Source organism: Homo sapiens, chromosome 14 (assembly GCF_000001405.40).
Source record: "Homo sapiens chromosome 14, GRCh38.p14 Primary Assembly".
Classification (NCBI taxonomy): domain Eukaryota; kingdom Metazoa; phylum Chordata; class Mammalia; order Primates; family Hominidae; genus Homo; species Homo sapiens.
In genome coordinates, this window is record NC_000014.9 from 63,415,517 (window position 1) to 63,443,298 (window position 27,782).

Here is a 27,782-nt window from a genome sequence, read left to right on the forward strand (position 1 = left end):
CTACAACATACTAATGTACTATAAATATATTCTTCCAGTTTTGCAAACTACTTGTACCATTTAAACAATATATTATGTATATACTTCATTTAACATACCATATAAATATATTTTTACAGTTTCACAGACTACTTTTACCATTTAAACAATGTATTATGAACAATTTACATCAATAATATCTCAACTATCATTCTTAGTAGCTGTAAGTAGTCCATTATAATTTATAATGAATAATTCCATTATTCATAATTAATTTAACCAACCTCCCAGGCTTAGACATTTAAGTAGTTTCTGAATTATTTCTCCATCATTCTGCGACAACGTGCATCACATAACATACATCAGTATGTACTTGTTCAATTATGTCATGAGGAAATATTTCTAAATGTGGAATTGCTAGATCACAAGATATCCAAACATTCAGAATTTTTGATACTCACTGACAAATTTCTTTTCAGAAAGTTTATGGCAATTTCTACTCATCGGATCATAAGATGGTGTGGCACAATATACCCATCTGCAAAAAGTCAGCCTCAAATAATTGTTCTGATAAACAGTGGGGAATCACTGCGTATTCTCTTTGCATAATAAGCCTATGTCAAAGGCTACATCAGATCCTGACGAGGTATGCAACAGTATATCAAAACCAGAACCTTTAACTGGTACAACTGCCTGCGCCTGCAGTCTCAGCTACTCAGAAGGCTGAGGAGGGAGGACTGCTTCAGCCCAGGAGTTTGAGTCAAGCCTGGGCAAGAGAACAAGACTCTGTTTCTCTAAAAAATACATATATAATCCAGAACTTTTTAAACCATGAATACTGGGTTGAATGCCTAACTCTTTTCCTTACTAACTGTGTAACCCTGAGCAAGTTAACTTCTCTGAAACTTTGTCTCTTCGATTTTATAATGGAGATGGATAGTCTCTAAGATTAAATGTGAAAATACACACATAAAGCCCTCTGCACAATGACTAACATGTATCATCATCACTATTCCTAAAATAACATTTGCTAACTTTTTGGTCTCACTCCTTTACACTTAAAAATTAACAAGGACCCCAAAGCTTTTGTTTATATGAGATATATATGATATATATAATATCTAATCAGAAATAAAAAGTGAAAAAAACTTTAAAATTTCACTGTTTCATTTAAAAACAAGGTGCATTATATGTTAACATAATTATGTTCCTGAAAAAAAAAGAAAAAAAAAACTTTACTTTCCAAAAGAATTGAGAAGAAAGCCATTGTTTTATAGTTTTATAAATCTCTTTAATATGTGGCTTAATGTAAGACAGATTTTCATCTGCTTCTATATCCAATCTGTTGTGATATGTCATTTTGGTTTAAGTATACAAAGAAAATCAAGGCTGACGGAGATCCAGGGAGATCTCCATCAAAAAAGGGAGAGTATTTTACTAGTTTCTTTTTCTCCCACATAATTGTAGATATTCTTCTTTGATGCTACACTAAATTCAACAAATTGTCATTTCTTAAAGATTAGTTGCAACACAGAATCTGAAATGATATCAATGAACTTTTCATACTTTGTTACACTAAAATCCAATCATCTGTCTTGCACTTTGAATGGATCTTTATCCATGCATGCTTTCCTAACATCATTTGCCAACTGGAAAATATTGGTTCATTGAGTTACGCAGCTCTTTTAAATGTTGACATGTTTTATTATACAGTATCTAAAAAATCACATTCTTTATTATCTCAATTTTATTTTTAAAAAGTCTTTAAGCTTTGGGAAGCTGCAAGCTCAAGGTGACAGATGCAAGACAGATACAAGTTTTCTAAAATTCTAATTCTAAATTCTGCATTAATGCTCTAATTTTGTCAGTGGTAACAAATATTGTCAAATGGTTTTCTTGTTTGTTTCAGACAAAATATCCGCCAAATACCCAAGCCTGAATAATCATAGTTTGTTAGTCATTCCTTCAAGTAAAAATGATGTTTCATGAGGAGGAAAAAAAAAAAAAAAAGGCTAGTTTGGGTTACAGCTCAAAAACTATTACACAAATGCTTTTCCATAAGATAACCATTATATTTCAGTATGCAGTGGATGTTACTATGCATACTTCCCATTGTATCATGTAGAATATTTTTAAATGTGTGCTTGAGGGTCAAAATGTAATAAAATTATTAATTTTCACTGTTTCTTCAAAGATGTTCTCAAGTGAAATCGGCTTTTTTACATTTTTAATTACAAGTACGTGGCAGTGAAGAATACTCAACCAGTTTGACACAAGTGCCTTGATTCTCGTTAAGGTAGCAGCAATTTTAACCACCGCCACTTTTGCAATGAATAGTACAAACGTCAACACAGTGAAAGGACAAATCATATATACAGCACTGTTATAAAGGTAGTTTTGACCTTGCAGGACATGGAAAATCAGGTCTCAGAGCCCCTCTAAGGGTCCACAGATACCACTGATTTAAATGTTTCTTCTCACGTCAGACTCTAATTTAAGACTTAAATTAGGGATTCACGTTAGCATTTTACTTCCTTATAAAACTATGTTTTTCTCCTTGGAACTCTCTGAATTCAGAAAAATTTCTTTCCTAATGATCCGGACGTTGCCAAATTTCACATGTTATTTTGCTAGTCAAAATAATGCCCAAGTCCTAAGACCTCAGAGAATTGTTCCTTTTCTAATACACTCATCTGTCAACTCTCAGTTTTACATACAGAATGTCAGCCTTATTCAAATGACCCCATCAAGTGGGTTTTAGCCCTCTTTCGATTGCCACAAAGAGGGGAGATTCTCATCTTCTAAGCTGGCCTGTGGACTGGCAAGGCTTTCCAGCAAGACTGGCAAAGTGCTCTCTCCTCTCTGGTCACTTGAAAGCAGTTATGGTCTAAAATGTTTGGTGGAAACACTTCAGACATATTTATTAATAAGCATAAGTGTTCTCTGCACTTAAGAGAAAGATTCTACGTCAAAATCAAAAATCTCCCTTAAGTTTCTAAAGAGAAAGACTGGGGGCTGGGGAGGACAAATTACTTTTCAAGGTTACATAAATGAATTCTCCAAGGAACTTTAGTAAGAAGACTAGCATTCCTGTTTGTCAGTCTCAAACGGAAAGCACTAAAAACAAATTCTTAATTGTAAATGAAAGTCCTATAAAATTGTATTCTACTGAAGACACACCTAATTTCAGAAAATACATAAACAAGATACTATTTTGGATAACTGAAAAGGTTGAATAACATACAGAGTAGACCCCTTTGACATATTTGAACTAAAAATTATTCTTTTGTCTATTTTTAAAGATCCCAAAAGATCCACAATTTGTTATAATCAGTAATTTTTTTACTTTTTTTTTTTTTTTTTTTTTTGGTGAGATGGTCTCGCTCTGTTGCCCAGGCAGGAGTGCAGTGGCGCAATCTTGGCTCACTGCAGCCTCCGCCTCCCAGGTTCAAGCAATTCTCGTGCCTCAGCCTCCCAAGTAGCTGGGATTACAGGCGTGTGCTGCCACGCCTGTCTAATTTTTGTATTTTTCATAGAGGCGAGGTTTCACTATGTTAGCCAGGCTGCTCTCAAACTCCTGGCTTCAAGTGATCCACCCGCCTTGGCCTTCCAAAGTGTTAGTATTACAGGTATGGGCCACTACGTCCGGCCAATGGGTAATTTTGTGTATGCCACAAATTTAAATCAAAAAGGTATGCAGGAGCAGTCAATTAGCTGGGCAATGAGCACAGCCAACCACTCAACAACCACATCTCAATGTCATTTTGTTGTTTTGACCTCCTCCCGTCAGGTATTTATACTTTCTTCCTTGCAAAATGTGTTCCAGAAAAGGAAGCGTACTGCTAATTATGAAGTTAATAAAAAGTGAAAAGGTCTAAAACTATGCTGTGTTTTGGTCAGAAAAATAGACAGTTGGATCAACTAAAAAGTAAAATGTTAAACTTCATGATAGGTGACTATGACATGAATGACCTATCATGAAAAGAAAAAGAGACTTCTTATACATTCAGTGACTGCCCTCATTAGTGCTAAAACCACCTAACACTGAAAATGGAAAGGTGGCTAATTTGTGCTATAAGAATATACAAAGGAAACACAGGATTCTTGAGACCAAGTCAGGAGCCTTGGTCCAAAAGCAACAGATGGTGAAGGCAACAGTGTGCCTAGTGACCTAAACTTTACTATGAATGAAGGTTGATTTACGAATTTTAAAAGGTTCCTTCACCTGATCCAGCATTAGTAGGTCATATTTCCCCTTGAGCTAAAGAAAGGACCAAAGGATAATAACCTTGAACAGGATGTCAACACACATGAAACCAGCCCATATTATAATACCGTTTCTGCCTTTATATCCAAAAGGGCACAGGTCTCATTACCATTCTTCACTGTTTCTTTGGTTTTAGGATTTCAGATTAACTAATGGTTAATATTCCTGCAGTAATGACAGTGTAAGCTAGAGTGGTTTTTTGTGGCAGAATTAAAGAGTTTCAGAAATTAATTTGGTCCTGTATTTTACAGAGTCATTAAGTATGGGAAGGATTAACTGTAATAATGAGTAAAAGTTTATTGTACTTTAGGGGAAATTTATGTCTATGGTTATCATGACATAGAATATTCAAAAAGCTCTTGCAAATGGCAAGAGTGGTCCCAATGTCTTCTTTCGAATACAGAGAAGACAATATGCTGAGGCTTTGAAGACATCTCTTTCCTTGTCTTTTCCACCATAAGATGTGAGACTACTGAGGAGATCGTCTTTTTGTTGTTGTTAAGTTTCTTCCAGACTAAACTGTAATTCAATGAACTGTCACCAAACATTAAGAGTAAGACATGACAATTCACCCATTCAAAAAAGTAATTCTTTTTTGGATTGTGTCACAATCTGGGATATACCTATGAAAAGCACAAATAGTTTTACAAGTTTCTTAGATTGCAGACAATATGTCTGGGACCTTAAAAAAAAAATCAAACATCTAAGATAGTAAATCAATTACCGTGTTTTAACTAATTTACCCAGTCTTAGCATTGGAGGCAGGAATACATATGCATAACACGCCTGAGTAAGAGCTGAGAAAACAGAGCCCCCAAAAGCTCTCTACGTAACAACGGGAAATAGCACACGTGTGTACTTGCAGAAACTTTGAGTTGTCAAAGCAGGACAGACAGACTTGCAAATTTGTGTCAGAAATTCTGAAGTAGGGGGGAAAAACTCTTAGAATATCTCTAGGCCTTCTCTCTCTGCTGCACAGTTTGTTTGCTCTTCAAAAAGTCAACCTGAGGCCGGGCGCGGTGGCTCACGCCTGTAATCCCAGCACTTTGGGAGGCCGAGGCGGGCGGATCACGAGGTCAAGAGATCGAGACCATCCCGGCTAAAACGGTGAAACCCCGTCTCTACTAAAAATACAAAAAAATTAGCCGGGCGTAGTGGCGGGCGCCTGTAGTCCCAGCTACTTGGGAGGCTGAGGCAGGAGAATGGCGTGAACCCGGGAGGCGGAGCTTGCAGTGAGCCGAGATCCCGCCACTGCACTCCAGCCTGGGCGACAGAGCGAGACTCCGTCTCAAAAAAAAAAAAAAAAAAAAAAAAAAAAAAAAAAAAAGTCAACCTGAACCATGAATACATTTCTACGAAAATGCAGCAGCTTCTGCCTAGGGGTGAAGATGTACAAGGTATTATTCATTTTCTTCCACCCCTTCCCCCTTGCTATTTGTCGAGCAACCTAAGGATATTCTGACTCAATGGAAGGGTGACTTTGGGGTTCAACATGTACAAATTTCCTTGCTCTATTCTTTTGAGAAATTTTGGCCTTCAGAGAAGGCAGCACAAGGAAGGAACGAGCTGGAAAATTACCAGTATGTATTATACAAGTTAATACAATACAGATGGCTCTAATGCTGGAAACAGAGATGCAGTGATGCCCCTGATCCATCCTGGCACATAAGTGTGATTGGAAAACATGGCCTTCTCAGTGCAAGAGAACAGAATTGGCCTTTACCCAAGCTTTCTCTCAGCTGTTACTCTTCCTTACAGTACTGTGAACGAAATAGCTATTACAGTTTGGTTTTGTCCTTCTAACTAAAGAAACACATTTGTAGTTAATGTGATGACAGACATACAAAGTTCCCAGGGTACATACCACTAAAAATGAGATATATACTCTGTGAGCTAATCACATCCAACTAATGCTAATGTGAAAATAATTCTGTGCTTTGTTGGAGGCTCTAGAGGGCAGGATCATAAAGAAGCTCTAATAGAGAAATAAGAACTGCTGGCTGTACCTGCAACGTGGGGTTGGGGGACACTAAAGCATCACACTGACACTATTTTATTCTTTTGGCATTCTAATTATCAAGAATAAGAAACATAAAAAACATTCTCTAACTTTCCATTAGTGTACTCTAATTTGATTTCTTGGTGAATAAAGCCCTTCAAGGAATTCCCATGCTAATCAGCTAATGAGTTAATGGAGTTTTCTTTTATAACAAATGGTATTTCAAAGTACCTGTAAGTGTGGCCACGATGCCTCAAGGGTAGGTTCATCTTCTTCTGGATCAAATTCATTGCTGTCACTAGGAGGGAGAGTTCTGAATATATTGCAAGATACCTAAAAATAAACAAGCAGCAGAGTTAACGGGAAGCACCTTCTGCACAGTTTTACACAAGGTCCTTGGAGCCAAGCTGAGGGGAACCCAGATAACAATGCACAAGGAACATCACCAAACTAGAATAAGGACCTCTTTCTATAGGCTCTGAGGTGGGGACCACCTCCAGGCAAGCTGGAAAGTAGCAAAGCAGCACCATCCTACTCTCTTGAACACTATTAATCGTCCTTATTTAACCCTTCCCTCCCTAGGTCCCCATGATTTCATACCTCCCATCAAAGCCTGCTCTTGGTTACTTACCAGTCAAGCATGTTTCTGATTAACCAACTGACATAAGAAATAAATAACTGCTGGCCGGGCGCAGTGGCTCACGCCTGTAATCCCAGCACTTTGGGAGGCCAAGGTGGGGGGATCACGAGGTCAGGAGATCGAGACCATCCTGGCTAACACAGTGAAACCCCGTCGCTACTAAAAACACAAAAAATTAGCCGGGCGAGGTGGCAGGCACCTGTAGTCCCAGCTATGCGGGAGGCTGAGGCAGGAGAATGGCGTGAACCCCGGAGGACGGAGCCTGCAGTAAGCCGAGATCGCGGCACTGCACTCCAGCCTGGATGAAAGAGCGAGACTCCGTCTATTTAAAAAAAAAAAAAAAAAAAAAAAAAAAAAACTGGTAATGGGCTTCATGTGCTTCCCTTATCAGGCTTATTCACTATTTGCAAACTTATGGTTGAAATAACAGTGAAATTTCAGGCTTTTCTAATAACCTTAAAAATATTCCTTATCTGTCCTCAACAAGTTGGTTTACAAAATAGTAATGATACCCAGAGTAAAATCCTATCTGTGATATAAACCTCTATAAACTAGGCATTCCTTAACTATAGGCAAGATCCAAATTAAACAATGGTTGTTCAAAACATGGCCATGAGTTGATAACTGTTGAAACTGGGTGATGAAGAGATAAGGATTCATTATACTATCTATTACTTCTGTATATGTTACAATATTTCCTTTTGTTTTTTTGAGACGGAGTCTCGCTCTGTCACCCACGCTGGAGTGCAGTGACGCAATCTTGGCTCACTGCAACCTCCTGCCTCCCAGGTTCAAGTGACTCTCCTGCCTCAGCCTCCCAAGCAGCTGGGATTACAGGCGCATGCCACCACACCCGGCTAATTTTTGTATTTTTAAGTAGAAACCAGGTTTCACCATGTTGGTCAGGCTAGTCTCGAACTCCTGACCTCAAGTGACCTGCCCACTTCAGCCTCCCAAAGTGCAGGGATTACAGGCGTGAGACACCACACCTGGCCTATTACAAGATTTCTATAGTAAAATGTTTATGTTTTAAATGTTGTTGGTACTAGTCTCAGGATTCCTTTCTGGTTTCTGTTTCTTGCCCCACTCACCCACTCATCTTTCTCCTAATGACCCAAACATATCCTCCTAATGACCCAAACATAAGACAGGGAGGGACAGGAGAACATGCGTAAAAAGTGAGAAGGGAAAAAGAAAGGAGATATTGCATCAGAAGCCTTAGCTGGCCTTCCTATGTAATGCAGAAAATACTGAGCTACATAATATACTGCTCTGAAAGAGGAAAGAAGAAAGGCTTTGGGGTATCCACATAATCTGAATGTGTTTATTCATCCAGTAAATAATTATTAAGTGCCTATTACGTGTACACACTGTTCTAGGCACTAGGAAAACAGTAGTGAACAAAGCAGATAAAAACCCATGCCCTCATGGAACTTACTATATTCTAGTTAAAGCCACAATTATCCCCATTTCCTAGCTATGGAAACTGAGCTCAGATGGGTAAGCTACGGGAAGGAGATTCAATTTTATTTTAGTGCAATGAGAGGCCATTAGTGGATCTTAAAACAGAGAAGTGGCATGATCTGATTTTTGCTTAAAAAAAAAAATCACTCCAACAGCTATGTATAGAATAGGCAGGAAGAGGACAAGTTAGAAGGCTGTGAATGTGACAAGGAATGACGCTGGCTTGGCAAGGATGGTAGGGAAGACAGAAATAGACTGATTCAAAAAGGTAGTGCTTTGCTGCTGGCTTGGATATATGATGTGAAAGAACTAATTAAGGACAAGACATAGATCTGAGGCCATTAACCGAAGATGGAGATTACTGGAAAAGGGAAAAGTTTATTTCTTTACTTGCTTATTTTAGCGGAGAGATTCAGGGATCTAGTTAGAGACATATTAAGGGAGCAGTATCTAGGAGGCAATTAGAAATATGAAGTTGGACCTCTGAGCTGGACAGGTCAGAACCAGAGACATATAAGACTCAGCAGCATATAGATAATACTTAAAGCCACCAGACCAAAGGGATCACCTTGGAAAGGAGTAAACAAAAAGAAGAGAAAGGGTCGGCCGGGCGCGGTGGCTCACGCCTGTAATCCCAGCACTTTGAGAGGCCGAGGCGGGCGGATCACGAGGTTAGGAGATTGAGACCATCCTGGCTAACACGGTGAAACCCCGTCTCTACTAAAAATACAAAAAATTAGCCGGGTGTGGTGGCGGGCGCCTGTAGTCCCAGCTACTCGGGAGGCTGAGGCAGGAGAATGGCGTGAACCCGGGAGGCGGAGCTTGCAGTGAGCCGAGATCTCACCACCGCACTCCAGCCTGGGCAACAGAGCCAGGCTCCATCTCAAAAAAAAAAAAAAAGACAGAAAGGGTCCTTGGGCACCCAGTATTTAGAAATTGGGTAGAAAAAGAAGAGCAAATGAAAAGAAGCAGGGGATAATAGAAAAGAACTAGAGTTTGGGGTCTCAGAAGCTAAGAGAGAATAGTGTTTTAAGGAAGAGGTCAAGAGCAGCAAATGCTGTTCAGAGCATTGACTAAGATGAGCATAGAGCCGTATCTATTGGACTTGGTGGTCCTATGAAGTGTACACTATTACGATCCCTGATTTACCATTGAGGAAATAGAAGCATGGGTGTTATTAAGCTCTAAGGTTACAATTAGTAACCAGCAGAGTTATAACTGGACCCAGGCTGTCAGGATCCCCAGTGTTCTTTCTAGAAGAAAAGGTAGACCAACTTTCTTATTCGTTAGCCTAGATGACAGAAAAAAATGATCATGTGAGAATATGCTTTTGCTATCGCTAATGACAGCACACACAGTTCTATTGTTTTATTTTTGTCCCTTCCAGTGATTACTAGAAATTATTTTTATGAAGAAATAAATGACTTTTCAGATAACTATCAACCTACGACTTCCCTTCAACCAGCCAGCTATAATGTAATTGACAGGGCAAAGGTTCTTTAATTACTCAACTTTGAATCTTCATTAAACTATACATGTAATTCAAAAACTGAGTCTTCATCCCAACTGAGTCATTTATACGTACTACACTTTTTAACAAGTGTTTTTCCTCTCCCAAGACATGAAAGTAAACCATGAAAGGGGGGAAAAGGGGGCTTCTCTATAGTAAAAAATCTGGGTAAAGAAACAGAAACTTCTCTTCCTTTGTACTCCTGGGCATATAAACTCTCTTACAGTGTCCACTGCACGCTGCAGCAACTATCTGTTTAGGTATTTGTCTCTCCCTACTAATAACTAATTAGGAATATACAACACATTTGTCTTCCCAGCATATACTAAGCATTTAATAAATATTCACAAAATAGAAGTTTGGATATATTAATAAAGCTGGGTATTGTGGTTTTGCTTTAAACAAACTTCAACATTTTCTTGGTGACTTGAATAAATTTAAGTTATTTCTAAGGATGTTTATCCCTATATTGTGTTCTAATCTTCTGACTTAGTCAAAACTTCATCTCTCAGTTACAGCAAAAGAAGGCCAAGTTGGGTAAATAATCCAAAAGGCAGGTAGTTCTATAAGTATATACATTTCATTTAGCTACACACTGTCATTTCTTCAGATTTATCTTCCTGTCATGCTTTATTTAGTTTACTTCTCAACATTCACCAAATGAGGAATGAGAAAGCACATGTCTGCTGGGTTGGACAATTCAGAGTTGACTGGATTGGTGAAGTAGTTCTCTACCACAATGGGAAAGAATGGCAAAGCATATCAAGTGTCATAGAAATGGCCAAACCTCTGACCCAGCCTGGAATATACTAGGTACTTAATAAAAATGTTATAAATGAGCCATTACTCCCATCCTTGAGAATTTGCCCTGAGAAACTAATCCAAGACAAGAGTGAAAAAGCTACTTAAAGCTGTCACTTGCAACATTCTCCAAAAAATGTAAAACTGGAAATAACCTTTATGTCCGGCATCAGAGAGGTTTATCAACTCAGTGGAATATTGTGCAGCATTAAAGATGATGGCTATATGGGAGCACCAAAAAAAAAAAAGTTTATAAATAAAGATTTGGACGGAAAGGCAATTGAAAATTGTGTGATTATAAGGATAAGAATGTAAATGGTCCACTAAATGGAAATTAAAAGCTGTATTAAAGCAAGAGGACTATGAATGATAAACACAGTCCTAAAGCATACGTTAAAGATATACACTGTGAGTTACACCTTCCATTGCAAGATGAAAATGGGTCTTGAACTTGTTTATATAAGACTACTGCTGTCAAGCGAGAGTTAAGAATCACAGCCTCCAGGAGTGCCAAAGGCTTATCAAAAAAAAAAAAAAAAAAAAAAAATCACAGCCTCCCACAATACCAGAGAGCTTGGCTCATGAATGAATGATTTAAGAATTAAATGAATGAACCAGTTTAACTGTACAGTTGAGCTCCAAAATCATAAATTTAAAATCAGGTCATCCATGGATGGGCTTCCATTGGGGCACGGGGGAGGAAGCGGGGAGGCGTGTCTCTAAATCCCCTGATTTATCTGCAACAGTTTGTATGTTAGTCCAATTTGGGAAAAGGCCAGTTGCCTTCATCAGATTTTCAAAAGACTTCCAAGATCTAAAAATGGTTAAAAACCAAGGTCCTAAATAGTAAATTTGCTTCCATTAAATCTTCCTTTATCACTGGCAGTCACTTTTAATTTATAGTTTACGGTTAAATGGATTATTAAATAGGGCACTTGCATGCTTATGCAAATGTATCACAGCCATGAGTAAGCACCAACATCACTCCCCACCATGCAACAGTTTTGTGAAGAGCCTATGCGGCTAGATTAAAATGCATTCAGGTATTTCCAAAGTCACAAACGGTCTCTATTATATTAAAATATATGAGGTTCTAGCCCTACACCTCCTATTTTATTCATTCAAAAGTGGACTATCAAAAATGAACAAAAGGAAATTTTACAGTATATTAGATACATTTATTTTTCAAATATTGTATTTTAAACTACACTGGTGTCAGTGCAAAGTAAAAAAAAAAAGTTTAAGAAATAAATGCCTCTGAGGTAGTCTAATTCCTTTTCATACCAAAGATATTAGAATACACATCGGATGTTAGGATCAAACTAAAGGCTTGAAGGGGCTGGGAGCAGTGACTCATGCCTGGGAGGCTAAGGCAGGAGGATCACTTGAGGCCAGGAGTTTAAGACCAGCCCTGGTGACATAGCAAGACCCCCATCTCTCTATTAAAAAAAGAAAGAAAGAAAAAAAGGAGGCTTGAAGTCACTGGCCTGGCCTCCAAAAAGTGGCTATAAGGACAAAGCAAGGCTGAAGGGATGGGAGGAAAGGATGTCAAAACCTGGACAACCCCTCTTCAAAGACAGAAAACCTCCACTAACGAGCTTTTAGAATCAGATCAGGTTAGAAATTATCTTATCCAGCCCCTTCATCTTAGGAAACTGTGGTGCAAAGAGCTTGCAAGTTTTTCAGGGTAACAAATTACCATGAAACACAGAGAAAGTTCCCAGGGTTCCTTCTGATACATCACTTCCACCCTGACCCCTGAAGACCGTGGATGGACCTGACTTCTTTATTTCTCTCTTTTTCCTCTCATCTTCCCTACTCCCATTTCTTTTTAACATTTTTACTACTCTCATTTTCTCATCTCTCCTTTCTCATCAGCTCCTTCCGAGTTTTTTTGCCTGCCAGTGCCACTCAAAGGATGACTTCGCTCAGCATTAACAAAGAACTATAACGATCTCTCATCCCCACTGCCGGTTCAGACCTCCAGCAGCAAACATCTTGATTACTGCACAGTTTCCTTTCCGGTACTCTCTTCCTCACATCCCTTCTTTTTGTCTCCCCCAGTTAGATTTTGAAGCACTCAAGGACTCTATTCATCTCAGAATGTCTGGCACCTAATATACAATAAATGAAAATAACTAGAGGTGCCAAATAGAACTCAGGACACTGGTGAAATCTGACTTTCAGATAAACGACAAATAATTTTTCAGTATAAGTTCGTCCCATGCAATATTTGGGACTGTCTTATACTAAAAAATTATTCACTATTTATCTGAAATTCAAATTTAATTAGATGCCTTGTATTTTTATTTACTAAATCTGACAACCCTAAAATAACACTAATATTAAGAACCTCTACTGAAGGGGCAAGGTCAAGGACCTCATAACTGCTTGCTTTCAGGGCCCGGCTGCTCTATTATTTTTCAGTACATTAGTTTACTGCTGACTATTGTTAAGTATGGTGCTGCAACAAAAACAAAAAAAGTCAAATTCTTGGCCAAATGTGAAAGAAGAGACTACAAAGTTTCCAAGTTCATGACCTCATAAACAAAAGAGGAAGAAGCATTTAGGCATATTTTTATCAGTTTTTTATTAAACTTACTACTTTTTGACTTGCAAGAGCAAAATACAACTGTTATATTTCTAAATAGTTATTTAAATTACTGCAGAAAAAAAATCACCATTCCTAATCCATTTCCATAGAAATTACTAATTTTACACTATGATTTTGATTGGCATTTTGTTGTTAAGGAAAATATTATAATAGAACAGAGTGTGGCTAGCACCTAATAGCTACTCATTAAATATCTGCCAATATTAACAAAAAAATACACACGAAAGATAAGGACAATACAATGAGTGCTTTTTTAAAATTCATGAATACTTTGAATTTCCTGTAGTTATATTTTTGTTAAGATTTGAGGCTCTGGTACACTGGGCATGTAATGTGATCAGGGGACCACTTGTACCACAGTATAACAAGTCAATTTAAATCATCTTTGTGATTTAGAATGTATTTTCTAGATGGTTGAGTATCATCTTTCTTGAATAAAAGCAGATGAACTAGCTGACCTCAAAGATATTTTCCCCCTTTCATCTGTGAAACTGTAAGTTCATACAATTATACAATATTGCAAGCATATCAACTATAAATACAAAAAGAATGTTATCATGGCTATAAAGTGAATTTTAAGATTACATCTAAAAGGTAAATTTTCTAACCAAAAAGACTATATGAATGATGATAAACAGAAAACATTCCAGGAAATTTAAAGTTGCCACTATTTCTCCAGCACTATTCACATTAAGACCTCATCATGCAAGTAACAATTTCAATGGTATCCCTGAGTTTTCTCATCCAGTTTATGTATTCATTCATTCAATAATTCATTATGCATTAGAAAGAAACCAAAATGATTTAATCATTTACAACCAGGAGGGGCTAGTAAATGCAATGCTGTCACTTAGGTCATCATGGTTTTTTGTTTGTTTGTTTTTGTTTTTTGTTTTTTGTTTTTTTTTTTGAGACAGATTTTCATGCTTGTTGCCCAGGCTGGAGTGCAATGGCACCATCTTGGCTCACTGCAACCTCCACCTCCCCGATTCAAGTGATTCTCCTGCCTCAGCTTTCCTAGAAGCTGGATTAGAGGTACCCGCCACCACGTCCAGCTAATTTTTTGTATTTTTAGTAGAGATGGGGTTTCACTATGTTGGTCAGGCTAGTCTTGAACTCCTGACCTCAGGCGATCCACCCGCCTTGGCCTCCCAAAGTGCCGGGATTACAGGCGTGAGCCCCTGCACCCGGCCGTATTATTTTCATAATATTTTATGTTAGCACAAAAGATGAATCTAAGTAGATACGGTGAAATTGAACCTTGAAAGAAAATAGGCAAATCATCAATATTTACCATGAATGTCATTTTTTAAAAAACAATTAAATCTGAAACAAAAATATGAATATAAGCAAGACTTACTTTAAATCTCTAAATCAGACATTTAAACACCTAAGACTATTTTCAAACAGATTAGAATTTATATTAAATATTCAACCCTAACACCAGGCACAGTGGCTCACGCCTGTAATCCCAGCACTTTGGGAGGCCGAGGCGGGAGGATCACTTGTGGCTAGGAGTTGGAGACCAGAGTGGCCACAATGGAGAAAACCCATGTATACATACATACATACATACATACATGCATGCATACATACATACATACATACATGCATACATACATACATACATGCATACATACATATTCAACTGTAAGAATAAGAACTAAAATTCTAACCAAATTTTCTAACATAAAAATAATAAATAATAACATATATAACGTCAAGTTACTTTTGGTAACACCAAATTTAAGAGTTGTTAATGGTCTCAATAATAAAGAACCTCTCAAATCTGACATTTTTAAATGTCAGCTCCTTTAAATTAATTATAGATAATTATTGATAAATAAACATAGAAAGATCTCAAAGCATTTGTAATTATGCCTGAGGGACTTAGAATCAGAGCAGACAAATATCTTTTAAGCCGATACTTTAATTAGGAAACAAATGGCAAAATCTGTAAGCTTTCAATTACCGCTTAATTTAATTCACTGGTAATTTGTTCAATCAAATAATTTGTTTCTAAAGCCAAACTATGTATCTTAATTACCACAATAAATCTACTGTAGTTTCCACTTCAGACTAGGTATAAAGTCTTTTTTTAAACCTTGTCATCTATATGAATTAACACAGCTACTTAAAAGTTATCTGAATTTAAGAAACCATTCAAATCTGTTATTATAGTATAAAGGCATGTCCTGGCCAGGCATGGTGGCTCACCCCTGTAATCCCAGCACTTTGGGAGGCCAAGGCAGGCAGATCACAAGATCAAGAAATCGAGACCATCCTGGCCAACATGGTGAAACCCCATCTGTACTAAAAATACAAAAATTAGCTGGGCATAGGGGCGCATGCCTGTAGTCCCAGCTACTCGGGAGACTGAGGCAGGAGAATTGCTTGAACCCAGGAGGCAGCGGTTGCAGTGAGCCAAGATCACGCCACTGCACTCCAGCCTGGCGACAGAGCTAGACTCTATCAAAAAAAAAAAAAAAGCATGTCCTTAACACCTAATTCTAAGGATCAGAAATTTAAATTTAAGTCAGTTTGACAATTTCCTAGAATAAGCCATCCACTGCAGGTCTAGCTTTATTGCCTAACACATTAAATATTTAACTGTATTTGCTATGTAATGTCATCAATAATTATAATTTTCAGACATTATTATTCCAAACATGTTTATTTGAGTTACATATGATTCCTTGAGTCAAAACAATCTCCTCAATATCCTTGTTTATCACAAATGTAGATCTCAGTTGCATGATAAGAACTATCTGAAATACTGTAACAAGTAGGTATGATCAAGCCACTCCAGCAAGCCTGTCCATATCTTTATCATAAAACTGCATTTGCGGACAAAGCTCTATACTTTTGTGAAGACATTCACTGAACCAATGACAGGGTGCATTGTTTACATGTGACTAAGAAACATGCACTTGTGACAGTTGTGAGGTTTGTTTTACAACATCTAGAAATCCGGAAGAGGATTTAAAAGGAGATTTCTAAAGCGAGTAATTACTTTAGAAATAATTAGTAATTATTGTTACACATTTAGAAATAATTAGTAATTATTCAAATATACTTTAGGAATAATTAGTAATTATTGTTACACATTTAATGTCATACTTAAATCTGTATTAGCAGGGCTTTCTAGGACATAACAACTATTCTATTAAATATGATTCCTGAAATGAGGCAGAAAGAACATATTAAAATGATCAGAAGTTTAACAGGCAATTGAAGAAAGGGAATATCAAAAAAAAAAAAAAGCTTAAAACTTATAATACCCAATTAGAATTTTTAAATATAGCCAATATTCAAAAGGCAGTATTAAATTAATAGAAGTCTTGGCCATGTACTATTTTCATAACACACAAGGAAGACATCATTTTTATTTATATTTCCTGCATCAAGTATTTATTTTTTACTCTACTGGGTATACACTACAGATTTACACAGACCAAAAAACAAACACTGTTTTCATTGTTATTGCTGCTTACTGCTGTTAGAAGCAGTCGGAGTATTTAGCTGATAATTGTTATGATGAATTGGTATAACTAGATTTAACATACGGTGATTGCTTCTACAAATAATTTGGTCCCCTTAGACACGGAGTCTCTAGAAGATCGGAGCACTGCCAACTGTATGAAAGAAAGGAATCTGTCCATGAGATATCAAGAATAGAGAAACAATAGAATTTGAATACAGATCAAATGTAAATATAGGCATGGTTTGGAAGACTATGTCAACACTTCGTTAGAAGGGGACAACAGGGAAAAACTGAGTGAAAGAAAGGATTTTGTCTTTTGTTTCCACTCTCCTTGACCTGTGGCATGTTCATCAGAAGACAGAGGTGCCACAAAGACAGGAAAAGAGAAGAGACTGGGGGAAGGGGAGGGAAGAAAGAAAGAAAGATTCAAGGGAAAAAGAAAGACATTTGAGCTGGCCCCCTCTATGCAGTGATCACTAATGCCAAACTAGTATAATCAAGTTAATAGAAGCAGAATTTATAATAGCTGCAAACTAGAAACAACCTAAACGTTCATCAAACAGTAAAAAGGATAAGCAGTCATAACCAAACCCCCCAAACATATATAAGCTGTTTAATTCCTTTCATATAAAGTTCTAAATTAGACCAAACTAAGTCAAACTAAGTTTTCATTAAGTATTAATGTCAGGAGAGAGGACTCAAACCTAAAAAGTCTTAACCACAGCGCCACATACAGTTTTGTTTTTTGTTTTGTTTTGTTTTTTTTTTTTTTTTTTTTTTTGAGACAGGGTCTCACTGTGTCACCCAGGCTGGAGTGCAGTGGTGCGATTACAGCTCACCACAGCCTCAACCTCCTGGACACAAGTGATCCTCCCACCTCAGCCCCGCAAGTAGCTGGGACTACAGGCATGTGCCACCACACCCTGCTAATTTTTATATTTTTAGTAGAGATGGGATTTCACCATGTTGCTCAGGCTGATCTCAAACTCCTGAGCACAGGCAATCCACCTGCCTCGGCCTCCCATAGCATTGGGACTACAGGAGTGAGCCACTGTCTACAGTCATATTTAAAATAGGGGCTCTGTGGGTACAACATGGCACCAGTTGACTAGTGGGCTTGCCTATAGTGAGACTGGCTGGGCTAATTCCTTACCACCTGTTCATGCCCCTCCCTCCAGAACTCCCTTTTAAGTTTTGTCTTTAGGTCTTTTCTCTTGGGCTTGCCTGATTCTGCAGAGAAGAATCATCTAATCTCCTGGCTAGAGTGCATAAGGTATCTGGGAACTGAGTGGGTTTAGTCTCAATTCAACATAGTGTCCTACTTTCAGAAAGGTGCGCGCTGCTCTCAGCTGTGCGTAATGTCCCCAAGTCCAGATTCCCTCTAGTTTAGCCTCTCCAGAGAGTAAAGCTTCAGTGTTCTGCTGGGATTTGAGAGAGCAGTTACATAGCTACCTGGTTTTGGGAGAATGGGAGAAAAGGAATTCTGGCTACTTCTTATACAGACTTTCCAGCGAATCTCCTGTTTCGCCCCCATGCACCCTTCCTTTGAGAGGTTATCTTTCTGAAGTTCCTCGGAGTTGTGCATGTGACTTGCCCTGTCTTGACTTTCCTTGCTGCTGCTTTGGGTTCAGCTTTCTCTGATGGACCAAGGTAGTAACCACTGTTCATTTGCTTTCTAGCTTCCAAAATGTTAATTTTGAGATCTCTCTATTTTGCTTTGTTCTTGTGGGTTTTATTTCCTTTCAGTAATAACTTTTTCATTTCAGTAATTGTGGGGAGATTTTAGGGAATAAAAGTAAACATATGCATGGGTTCAATATACCCTATTTACTCAAAAGTTAGTGATTATTTCCTATTAAGTTATTTCTTCCATTCTCCAGTAACTTCTGCTAATTCAAGTAATTTAATTTGCTTATGCAAAAAAAATCAGTCTCTTTTTAGTGGGGAAGAGTCCAGTATAACAGCAAAAAAACAAACAAACAAACAAAAAATGGCAGATACTCTAATCTTAGCCAAAATAAACTGAGAGATCTTCACAAGAGTTTCTTTCTCAGAATTAGCACCAACTACATTAGTGGGTCTTAGTATAAAATAAAATAGAAAAATAAAGCATGTTCAGGATCTGGGAATACTGAATGCAAAATTCAAATGAACGCCTCCAAGTCATGATTTCATCCAGTGAAGAAGTACACAACCTCCCCAAAAAGAAAAATAAAGGTCAGCACTAGAGGTAGAACAAGTCCCAGCCCTTAGTATGCTGCTCTCCTCTCAATACTCAGTCCCCTATCACCTTTTCCACTACGACCTCTGTGTCCAGGGCACATGGATATCCTTAATTTCTTTACTTCCAGTTACATATAGAGCAGTTTTGACATCTCACTATCATCTCAAATTCAGGCTGGTCAAAACCAATTTCACTCTCATTGGACTCCATTTATCTCTCAAAGAGAATTCTCCTCCCACCTCCCCATTCTTTCAAGAAGTTCACTATTTTTTTAACCCTTTGGAGTTTTTGTTAACTCTTCTCCTTTATCTGCTATATACAATTTGTCAACAAGTCATTTTATTTATTACTTCAAAATGTCTCTTTGGTGCTCATGATGGTATTACTTTTAATAGTGGAAATTTGGAAACTGTTTAAATATCCCAAATTGGAAAATCAGTTAAGTAAACAATGGTACATCCACATAATGGAGTGTTAGGAACCATCAGAATTATGCTTTTAAAAGATTATTTAATTACAGGAGAGTATGTTTACATCATAATGATAATGTATATATAGTAAGATTAGAAAAAAAGGTTTAACAAGGAAAAACAGGAAAGAGCAAAAGGGGAATTTTCTGGGGAGATGACAATGTTCCAGATCTCATTTGGGGTGATGACTATACAAGTATATATAATTGCTAAATTCATTGAACGTTCATTGCCTAAGATCTGTTCTTCAAATTTTATTACAAGTTAAGTATATCTAAATTTTTTAAAGGGAAAAAAGTCATATTAAAAAAAAAGCAGACTAGGAGCAGACTGGCCAAAATGTGGGTAATGATTGAATTTAAATACCGAAACTATGGGTGATTCTTTTTTTTGATAAGGGTGGAGAAAAAAAACGGAAGATGGTGAGTTCTTTACATATTCTTAATTTCCTCTTCCTCTGCAATCATCTGACAAACCTAAGACAACAGCCCTCTGCCACAGGCCATCCTGGGTTATATCTGCCAGCCTAATCTTCCTTAAAGGAGCACAGACTTTCTTCATAGGGTCTGGAGAAAGAAAAGTAAGAATATAGTTTCATTTCACCTCCTGTTCAAAAATCCTTACAACTCCCTGCTCGCCATCTACAAGATTAAGTCTAACCTCCTCTGCTTAATTTGCCACACCCTCTCTAATCTAAACTCATCCCTGCCTCTCTCCACCTTACTGCCCACAAATTCTGACCATGAACCCTCCGCTTCCATTCGGCTCCTATTTCAAGATCAAACTTTGCTCAAAATAGGAGGCAACTTTTTACCTGCTGAAATGGTGACAGCAATGTTAAAATAATTATCTCTAGAGTCTGTTATCCTCACACAAAACCATCACAGGGAAATGATATTTCACACAGAGATGACTGTATTGTACTCGCTCCAAAATTGGAAATGTAGCAGTGAGTCCAAAAGTGAACATTGTTGATATTAAATCTTAGAATCCAAAAATAGACGTGTAAACATTGCAATAGTCATAGTGCTTACTGTGTATAAATCAGTGCAGGCCCTCGTACCGCCTGGGTTGGCCTCAAGCACTCCCGCCCCACACAGGCTAACCATGTGATACCAAGGCTTTGCTGCATTTCACCATCTGGGGACTGTGGGTCCTAAGTCCTAGAAGGTTACTAAAACTGAATTGAGTGTTTTCTGTAAAAGCCACAGTGCACAAGTTGATAAAACAATACCAACATAAGGCTTTTTTGAGAACACAAATTCTAAACATCTGCTATGAGGACTTCATGGTTCCAAATCAGCTAATGCTCAAACAAAAATTAAGCCTCTTGAATTGCGAATTTTTAAAAAAGCATACACAAAACATTTGAGGCTCCTGATGTGTGTTTCTGACTACTAGGTATGTGTTATTAATTGAAATCACAAAAAATAAACAAGAAACACAGCCAAAACTAACTGTCACTGTCTCTTATACTCTGTGTCTATGTGCACGTCTCTGTGTGTGTCTGTGACCTTTCATTAGCAAAACAAAGCCCTGAGCTAGTTGGTGAGTAATTAAAACACACCTGACCTACATATAACCATAACCATATAACCATATTTAGCACATATAACCATAGGTTCTGTCCATAAACTAACATTCCTCCTTATCCCAAAACTACTGCTTCATAATGAATTAAGTGTGATATGCCACTCCAGGGGAAGACAGGACAGCCAGCCCTCCCCGTTGACAGTGACACATAGCTGGCTTCATCTTAGTTCCTCTGAAGGAAACCAAGAGAAGGATCTAGGGGCAGGAACTGACCACCAACCCTGTAAGCTTACATTTTAAATGTGCTTTAAACACCACTGCCTTCTGATTATTTTATTGCTGAAACAACTGTCAGAGGCATTTGAACCTGAGCAACTCCATCTTGAACAGGGGCTGGGTAAAATAAGGCTGAGACCTGCTGGGCTGCATTCCCAGTAAGTTAAGGTATTTTTAGTCACAGGATGAAATAGGAAGTCAGCACAAGATACAGGTCATAAAGACCTTACTGATAAAACAGGATGCATAAAGAAGGCAACCAAAACCCACCAAAACCAAGATGGCAAGGAGAGTGACCTCTGGTCGTCCTCACCGCTACACCATGGTACTACATGGTACCACATACCAACGCCATGGCAGTTTACAAATGCCATGGCAATGTCAAGAAGTTACCCTATATGGTCTAAAAGGGAGAGGAACCCTCAGTTCGGGAACTACCTATCTCTTTCCCAGAAAACTCATGAATAATCCACCCCTTATTTAGAATATAATCAAGAAGTAACCATAAAAATGGATGACTATTTTTATGCCTATGGACTAGCCCTTCTTTTATTCCTTTGCTTTCTTAATAAACTTGCTTTCACTTTACTCTATGGACTCACCCCAAATTCTTTCTTACATGAGATCCAAGAACCCTCTCTTGGGGTCTGGGTCAGGACCCCTTTCCGGTAACACAACTACTCTCACTTTACAGAATAGGATATAACACATTTTGCACTTTGTTATTAAGGGCAGCACAAATACAAAACTTAATTTTCCAACAGTTTCTCTATTGTCTACAATTTTTTTTTAATCTGTCTAAGAGAAAAAAGCCAGAAATCTCTGAAAATGAAGTGGCCTGCCTTATTCCAGAGAGTGGTCTATCCTATTCTCATAAAGCCCTTACCTTCTGCAGGAAGGCCAATTCCACAGTATTTCAAAGTAGCCCATTTAGCACCTAACATTATCCTCCCAAGACCCCACTCCCTACCTTTCTGAAAAGTATAGAAACATCATATTTTCCAATAGAACTTCCTTGTCCATTTTGTCAAAAAAATACACTTGCTCTCCAACTTAGCAAATAATTATAACCAGCCTGATTTTTACTGAGAAATGTCTTTCCTTGTGTGTGCCACTCCTGACCCTCCTCACCATGACCCCACCAGCTGTCCCTCTCCACTACTTGGCCAACCCTCACCTCTCTCTACTCATCACAGAAATGGCATTTCTACTCTATAGTCTAGTGTCTTTGCACCATTTTTCAGAGGCAACTTGCTCCTGAGAAGTCACTGAATAGCATATTTCTTCTTGTTTTCCTACAGATCAAGTTTGGCTTTAAATACTGGTCAGCAGCCAACTGCCTCCTGGAAATGACCTGCTCATTGTCTGCTTGCCAGATTCTTGCCTCAGGCACTCCTGTCTCTGTGAATTCCACATTGAGGACACTCATTTTCTCAGCTTTTTCCTGCTCATCATGCACCACTGTGGTGTAACCAGCTTCCTCCAAACAATCAGCCAATAAATCCCTCTCTTTCATTTCTGTGTCTCCTCAGTAGAGAGACAGCCAAATCATACAAACTAACACCAAGAGCTGGGATTATCCAAGACCCACTTGCACATGCCACAAGCAAGATTTCACACTTTGTCATCCATGTGCTTAATAGATTTCCCAGAAGCATTGCTTATACCTTTAAACCACATTTTCAGCTTCAAGGTTAAATTAAAAGGTGGGAGAAAAGAGAAACCAAAACTTGAATGCAGTACTGTAACTTATCCTGCAAAATTCTGCTGCCAGCCACTGGGGGGAGGGGTAGAGACAGGGGGAGTATACTCATTACAGTGAGATATTATTGGATATATCAGTGCTAGACAAGTCACAGCTGTCAAACAATTTTAAGTATATTAAAAACTCTGAACAACCTTTAAAGCAGTTAAGCCAGAAGGACTACAGCTTGTAAATGAAGCAAATAGCAATCTCGAGTAGCTCAGTGGCTTCCTGAGTAAAAACCCTCTCTTTAGCACATTTAAATTAAAACTAAACACTTTAAAATCCTTGTCAGATTCCTTAAGAGAGAATGATTGCGGAGAGAAATGCTAAATTATTACTAGAGTTGGGGACGTGAATATGCAAGTATATCAGGAATTCATTTAGATGAACTTAGGGCAGTATATATATAAATGTATATATAACTATAAACACAGGGGCATATGCAGTTTCACAGGCAGTTCTCCCAAAAAAAAAAGGTATGAAAATAAAACTTCATAGAGAGTTTGAAATCAATAGTCAGACAAAAGATATGGAAAGTCATCTGAAAAAGACAAAAAAAAGCTTTCAGGTTAGCAAGACTTCATTGTAACCAGAAAAATGTATTAACCAATATAGACAGGTTAAGTCTACTGGGGTGCTAGAGATGGTACCATGAATAATGATAATAATGATATGGTGACTTTAACAATGCTTACCACAGTGCTAAGCACTGTTCATAAATTAATTTTCAAAACAACCTTATAGAGTTATAGTATAATAACAAGCTTAGAGGGATGAGACTCACCTGGGATCACATAGTTCAGTAAGTGGCCAGACTGGGTCCTGGTCTGTTTTTTTTTTTTGTTTTTGTTTTTGTTTCTGTTTTTTGAGACGGAGTTTTGCTCTTGTTGCCCAGGCTAGAGTGCAATGGCACGATCTCGGCTCACAACAACCTCCACCTCCCAGGTTCAAGCCATTCTCCTGCCTCAGCCTCCACAGTAGCTGGGATTACAGGCATGCGCCACCAGGCCTGGCTAATTTTGTATTTTTAGTAGAGACGGGGTTTCTCCGTGTTGGTCAGGCTGGTCTCGAACTCCGGACCTCAGGTGATCCACCCTCCTCGGCCTCCCAAAGTGCTGGGATTACAGGCGTGAGCCACCGCGCCCAGCCGGGTTCTGGTCTGTTTGTCTATGCCACTGACCCAGGAAGGACAGTAAAAAGGAAAAGCAGGCTGTACACACATAAGTGCTTCCAAGGATTAGGATGTCCATCATGGAGATGGAGGGATGTTTGAATCATCTAATTAACTCCCCTTGCTCTGAATTCAGGCTAACCAACCAACCTAAGGATTCCTTGGCAGCTCGCATAGCTTGCCTGCAGGGAGAGAAGGCACAGTTCAAATACACACAAACAGCTATCCACTGAGCAGTGCCCTTCTCACTCTGAATTCATACACTGGCACTTTCAATTTCCATATACGTTTTCTGTGGGTCCTACCAATTCAACACAAACAGGGCTGCAAGGTGGGGCCCCTCTATGATGCACAGGTAAGGTATCGCCACGCCAATGTTACCACATAAGGAGCACCAACGGGCAGAGGAGCCTGATTTTTGGAACTTCTAAGGGTGGGGCAGAGAGAGAAGTGGAGTGGGAAAGCACATGAACTCAGGGGACTGCTATCTGGGTGGAAGAGAGAGAGGGGTGTTCTGAAATACACGGCCTTCCTCCTGGGCTCCTCCTCACCTCCTCAATCACTATTTACTTTTCCAGACTGGGAATAAGTGGTAGGGTAGAGAGAAAAATTGAGAAGCAGCGTTAACAATTCAAGAATAACACAAAGGGAGTGTAAAGCTACTATATAGGGCAGCAGAAGTGGTAGGAGAGAGGGAGTGAAGAAGAAACTGTTCTTAAGCAAAAAAAAAAAAAATGAACATTTAACCCCAGAGCATACTATGTGGTCTGGCCTTGTCAGAAGCAGCAAAATACAGGGAAGGGCTTAAATCAAAGGCTTTTTTACTTTTTTAGAAGAGCTCAAGAAACAAACATAGCACAGAGGCAAGACTCCAACTTTTAGGGGTTTTAGACCTCATTCCTATTGGAAAGAATAATTCCAGGAAAGCATTATGGCTTAGCATCTAAGAGCATGGGTTCTGGGCCGGGTGCAGTGGCTCACGCCCGTAATCCCAGCACTTTGGGAGGCCGAGGCAGGCGCATCATGAGCTCAGGGAATCGAGACCATCCTGGCTAACACAGTGAAACTCCGTCTCTACTAAAAAATACAAAAAAAAAAAAAAAATTAGCTGGGCGTGGTGGCAGGCACCTGTAGTCCCAGCTACTCGGGAGGCTGAGGCAGGAGAATGGCGTGAGCCCGGGAGGCGGAGCTTGCAGTGAGCCGAGATCGCGCCACTGCACTCCAGCCTGGGCAACAGAGCGAGACTCCATCTCAAAAAAAAAAAAAAAAAAAGAGTATGGGTTCTGGAACCAGATCACCAAGGTTCAAATCTCAATCACCCAGGTGAGTGGCTTTGGACAAGTTTCTTAACCTCTCTCTTCCTTTACCTTATCTACAAAATGGTATCTATTAGATACTACCTATGTCACAGGTGGTTCTCATTCAATGTGAAGATTGAATTAACTCATATATTGTTCCTGCAGATTTTTATGCAGGTAACAATAGAAGGCATACGGGTGCTGGCCATCTTCTTTCATTAGTACACACCTTTGTGAAGAGACTCTAAGGATTAAGTATATGGCCACAAGTCTAAATCGTGTAACTTTACAACAACCTACCTAAATTCACACCATATAAAACAAAAAATCTGAACAGTCAGACATGTATTTAAGATACTGAGTTCACTACCAAAAGCCTTCCCACAGAGAAACTCTAGCCCAAATGGTTTCACTGGTGAAATCATTCTAACAACTTCATTTTTCATCTTTAGTTACTGCCAGAAATGGGGGGACCCCGTTCCTTTCCAATCTTGTACTCTCCAAGTGAGCAGCATCCAGCATAGATATTTAGTGCACACAGGGTAAAATCGCGCTTAAACCATTTTTGAGTCACATGTACCTTTGAAAATTTAAGCAAAAGCAAGTTATTTTCTCCTATAAAAATACATAGAACACAGCAGGGCGCGGTGGTTCACGCCTGTAATCCCAGCACTTTGGGAGGCCGAGGCGGGCAGATCATGAGGTCAGGAGATTGAGACCATCCTGGCTAACATGGTGAAACACCGTCTCTACTAAAACACAAAAAATTACTCGGGTGTGGTGGCGGGCACCTGTAGTCCCAGCTACTCGGGAGGCTGAGGCAGGAGAACGCCATGAACCTGGGAGGTGGAGCTTGCCGTGAGCCAAGATCGCGCCACTGCACTCCAGCCTGGGCCACAGAGCAAGACTCCGTCTAAAAAAAAAAAAAAAAAATACACAGAATACACAAAATTTTGCAGTTAACCTAAGAGGGTTCAGTGACCCCAAGAAATCCATCTATGGGCACCCCAAGCTGCTAAATCAATACTGTTAAATGAGCTTTAACTGGATTAGCACAGTTAAATTGTGGGAATTGAGGAAGTACAGACCAGTTTCCCTACCCTTTGAAAAATTACGAATGCTAACAAACTGTTCCTAACCTTGAGCAGTAAGTTCCTCCTGATTTCATTCTACAAATGTCTTTGGGAGATCTCATTATCATATCCTTAAATTTTTTCCTTTGTACCAAGGAATTCTTTAATTTCTAATCTAATTCTCAGGTCTTCTTTTACGCTTATCCTATCCTTCAAATTTCCCACCAGCTTCAGTTATTAAGTGTGCTTCTCAGATATCACTCATTTCTCTTCCATTATGTATAATTCTAATATTATAAACAGTCCACCCTCACCCACCCACCCCCAATGGCTCTTTTGCTATTAATGCATATCTACAAATCTTATCTCCTTTGGATCTAAAGAGTCACCTCCAAGGCAAATTCTGGCCAGGATGTATACAGTAGTCCCCGTCCTATCTGTGGTTTGACTTCCCATGGTTTCAGTCACCCATGGAATAAGTACAATAAGACATTTTGAGAGAGAGACAGAGAGAGAGACACAGAGAGAGAAGGAAGAGGGAGACCACATTTACGTAACTTTTACTACAGTATATTGTTATAGCTATTCTATTTTACTGTTATTGTTAATCTCTTACTGTGACTAATTTATAAATTAAACTTTATCATAGGTATATATGTATAGGGGAAAACATAGGATATACGTATGGGATTCAGTACTATCCACAGTTTCAGGCATCCCTGGGGTCTTGTAACATATCCCCATGGTTAAGGGGGGACTATCATGGTTATATTCTTTATCAGATGCAGGAAGATGAAAAATGGAAATTTCATATTTCCCCCCGGCAGTTATCATTCCAAAGCTACTTTTAGATAGTTGTTCTTTTATTAAAAGAAACTCTCTGCCCTTCAGCTAATAATGTAGCGAGGTTAACCAAGCACTACTAAGAGTACATGTCGGCAGACTCTGAGAGATTTAATTGCAACTTCATAATTTTCTACAATGTCATATTATTGTATTAAGAGGCTAACCAGAGCTCTGGTTTCCAGTTAAATCAAAGAATGTATAAAAAAAAATAAAGCACTTAGATAACCAAGTGACAGGTTATAATTTGAGAGTAGGAAAAAACAAAGCTAATAGTGGCCAAGAAACAACGTAACGAACTCAAAGAAAGACCTCAACAGCAAGGAAGGAAAAACCAGTGAATATATTTTATCTTAAAACTAAATTAACTTTGGAAAATTACATATTCT

At 38.6% G+C, this 27,782-nt stretch overlaps 1 protein-coding gene across 9 annotated transcripts in view, besides 1 other annotated feature; it reads right to left on the reverse strand.

The window, feature by feature from the left end:
- The window catches only part of PPP2R5E (protein phosphatase 2 regulatory subunit B'epsilon), a 172,014-nt gene that overhangs the window by 44,153 nt on the left and 100,079 nt on the right, over positions 1-27,782 (reverse strand). For all 9 annotated transcript variants that reach the window (NR_104104.3, XM_047431543.1, NM_001282179.3 and 6 more), the window contains one exon: positions 6,477-6,578. Coding sequence is in view for 8 of the 9 variants with exons in the window: in XM_047431543.1 (XP_047287499.1) it covers positions 6,477-6,578 (102 nt within the window). In the remaining variant the exon portion in view is untranslated. The remainder of the gene's footprint in view (positions 1-6,476; positions 6,579-27,782) is intronic.
- Positions 22,495-22,789: a silencer, noted in NCBI's record as "tiled region #14795; HepG2 Repressive non-DNase unmatched - State 10:DNaseD". NCBI's record gives its function as "represses a minimal TATA promoter and a strong SV40 promoter by Sharpr-MPRA in HepG2 cells {active_cell/tissue: HepG2}" and the evidence as "EXISTENCE:reporter gene assay evidence [ECO:0000049][PMID:27701403]".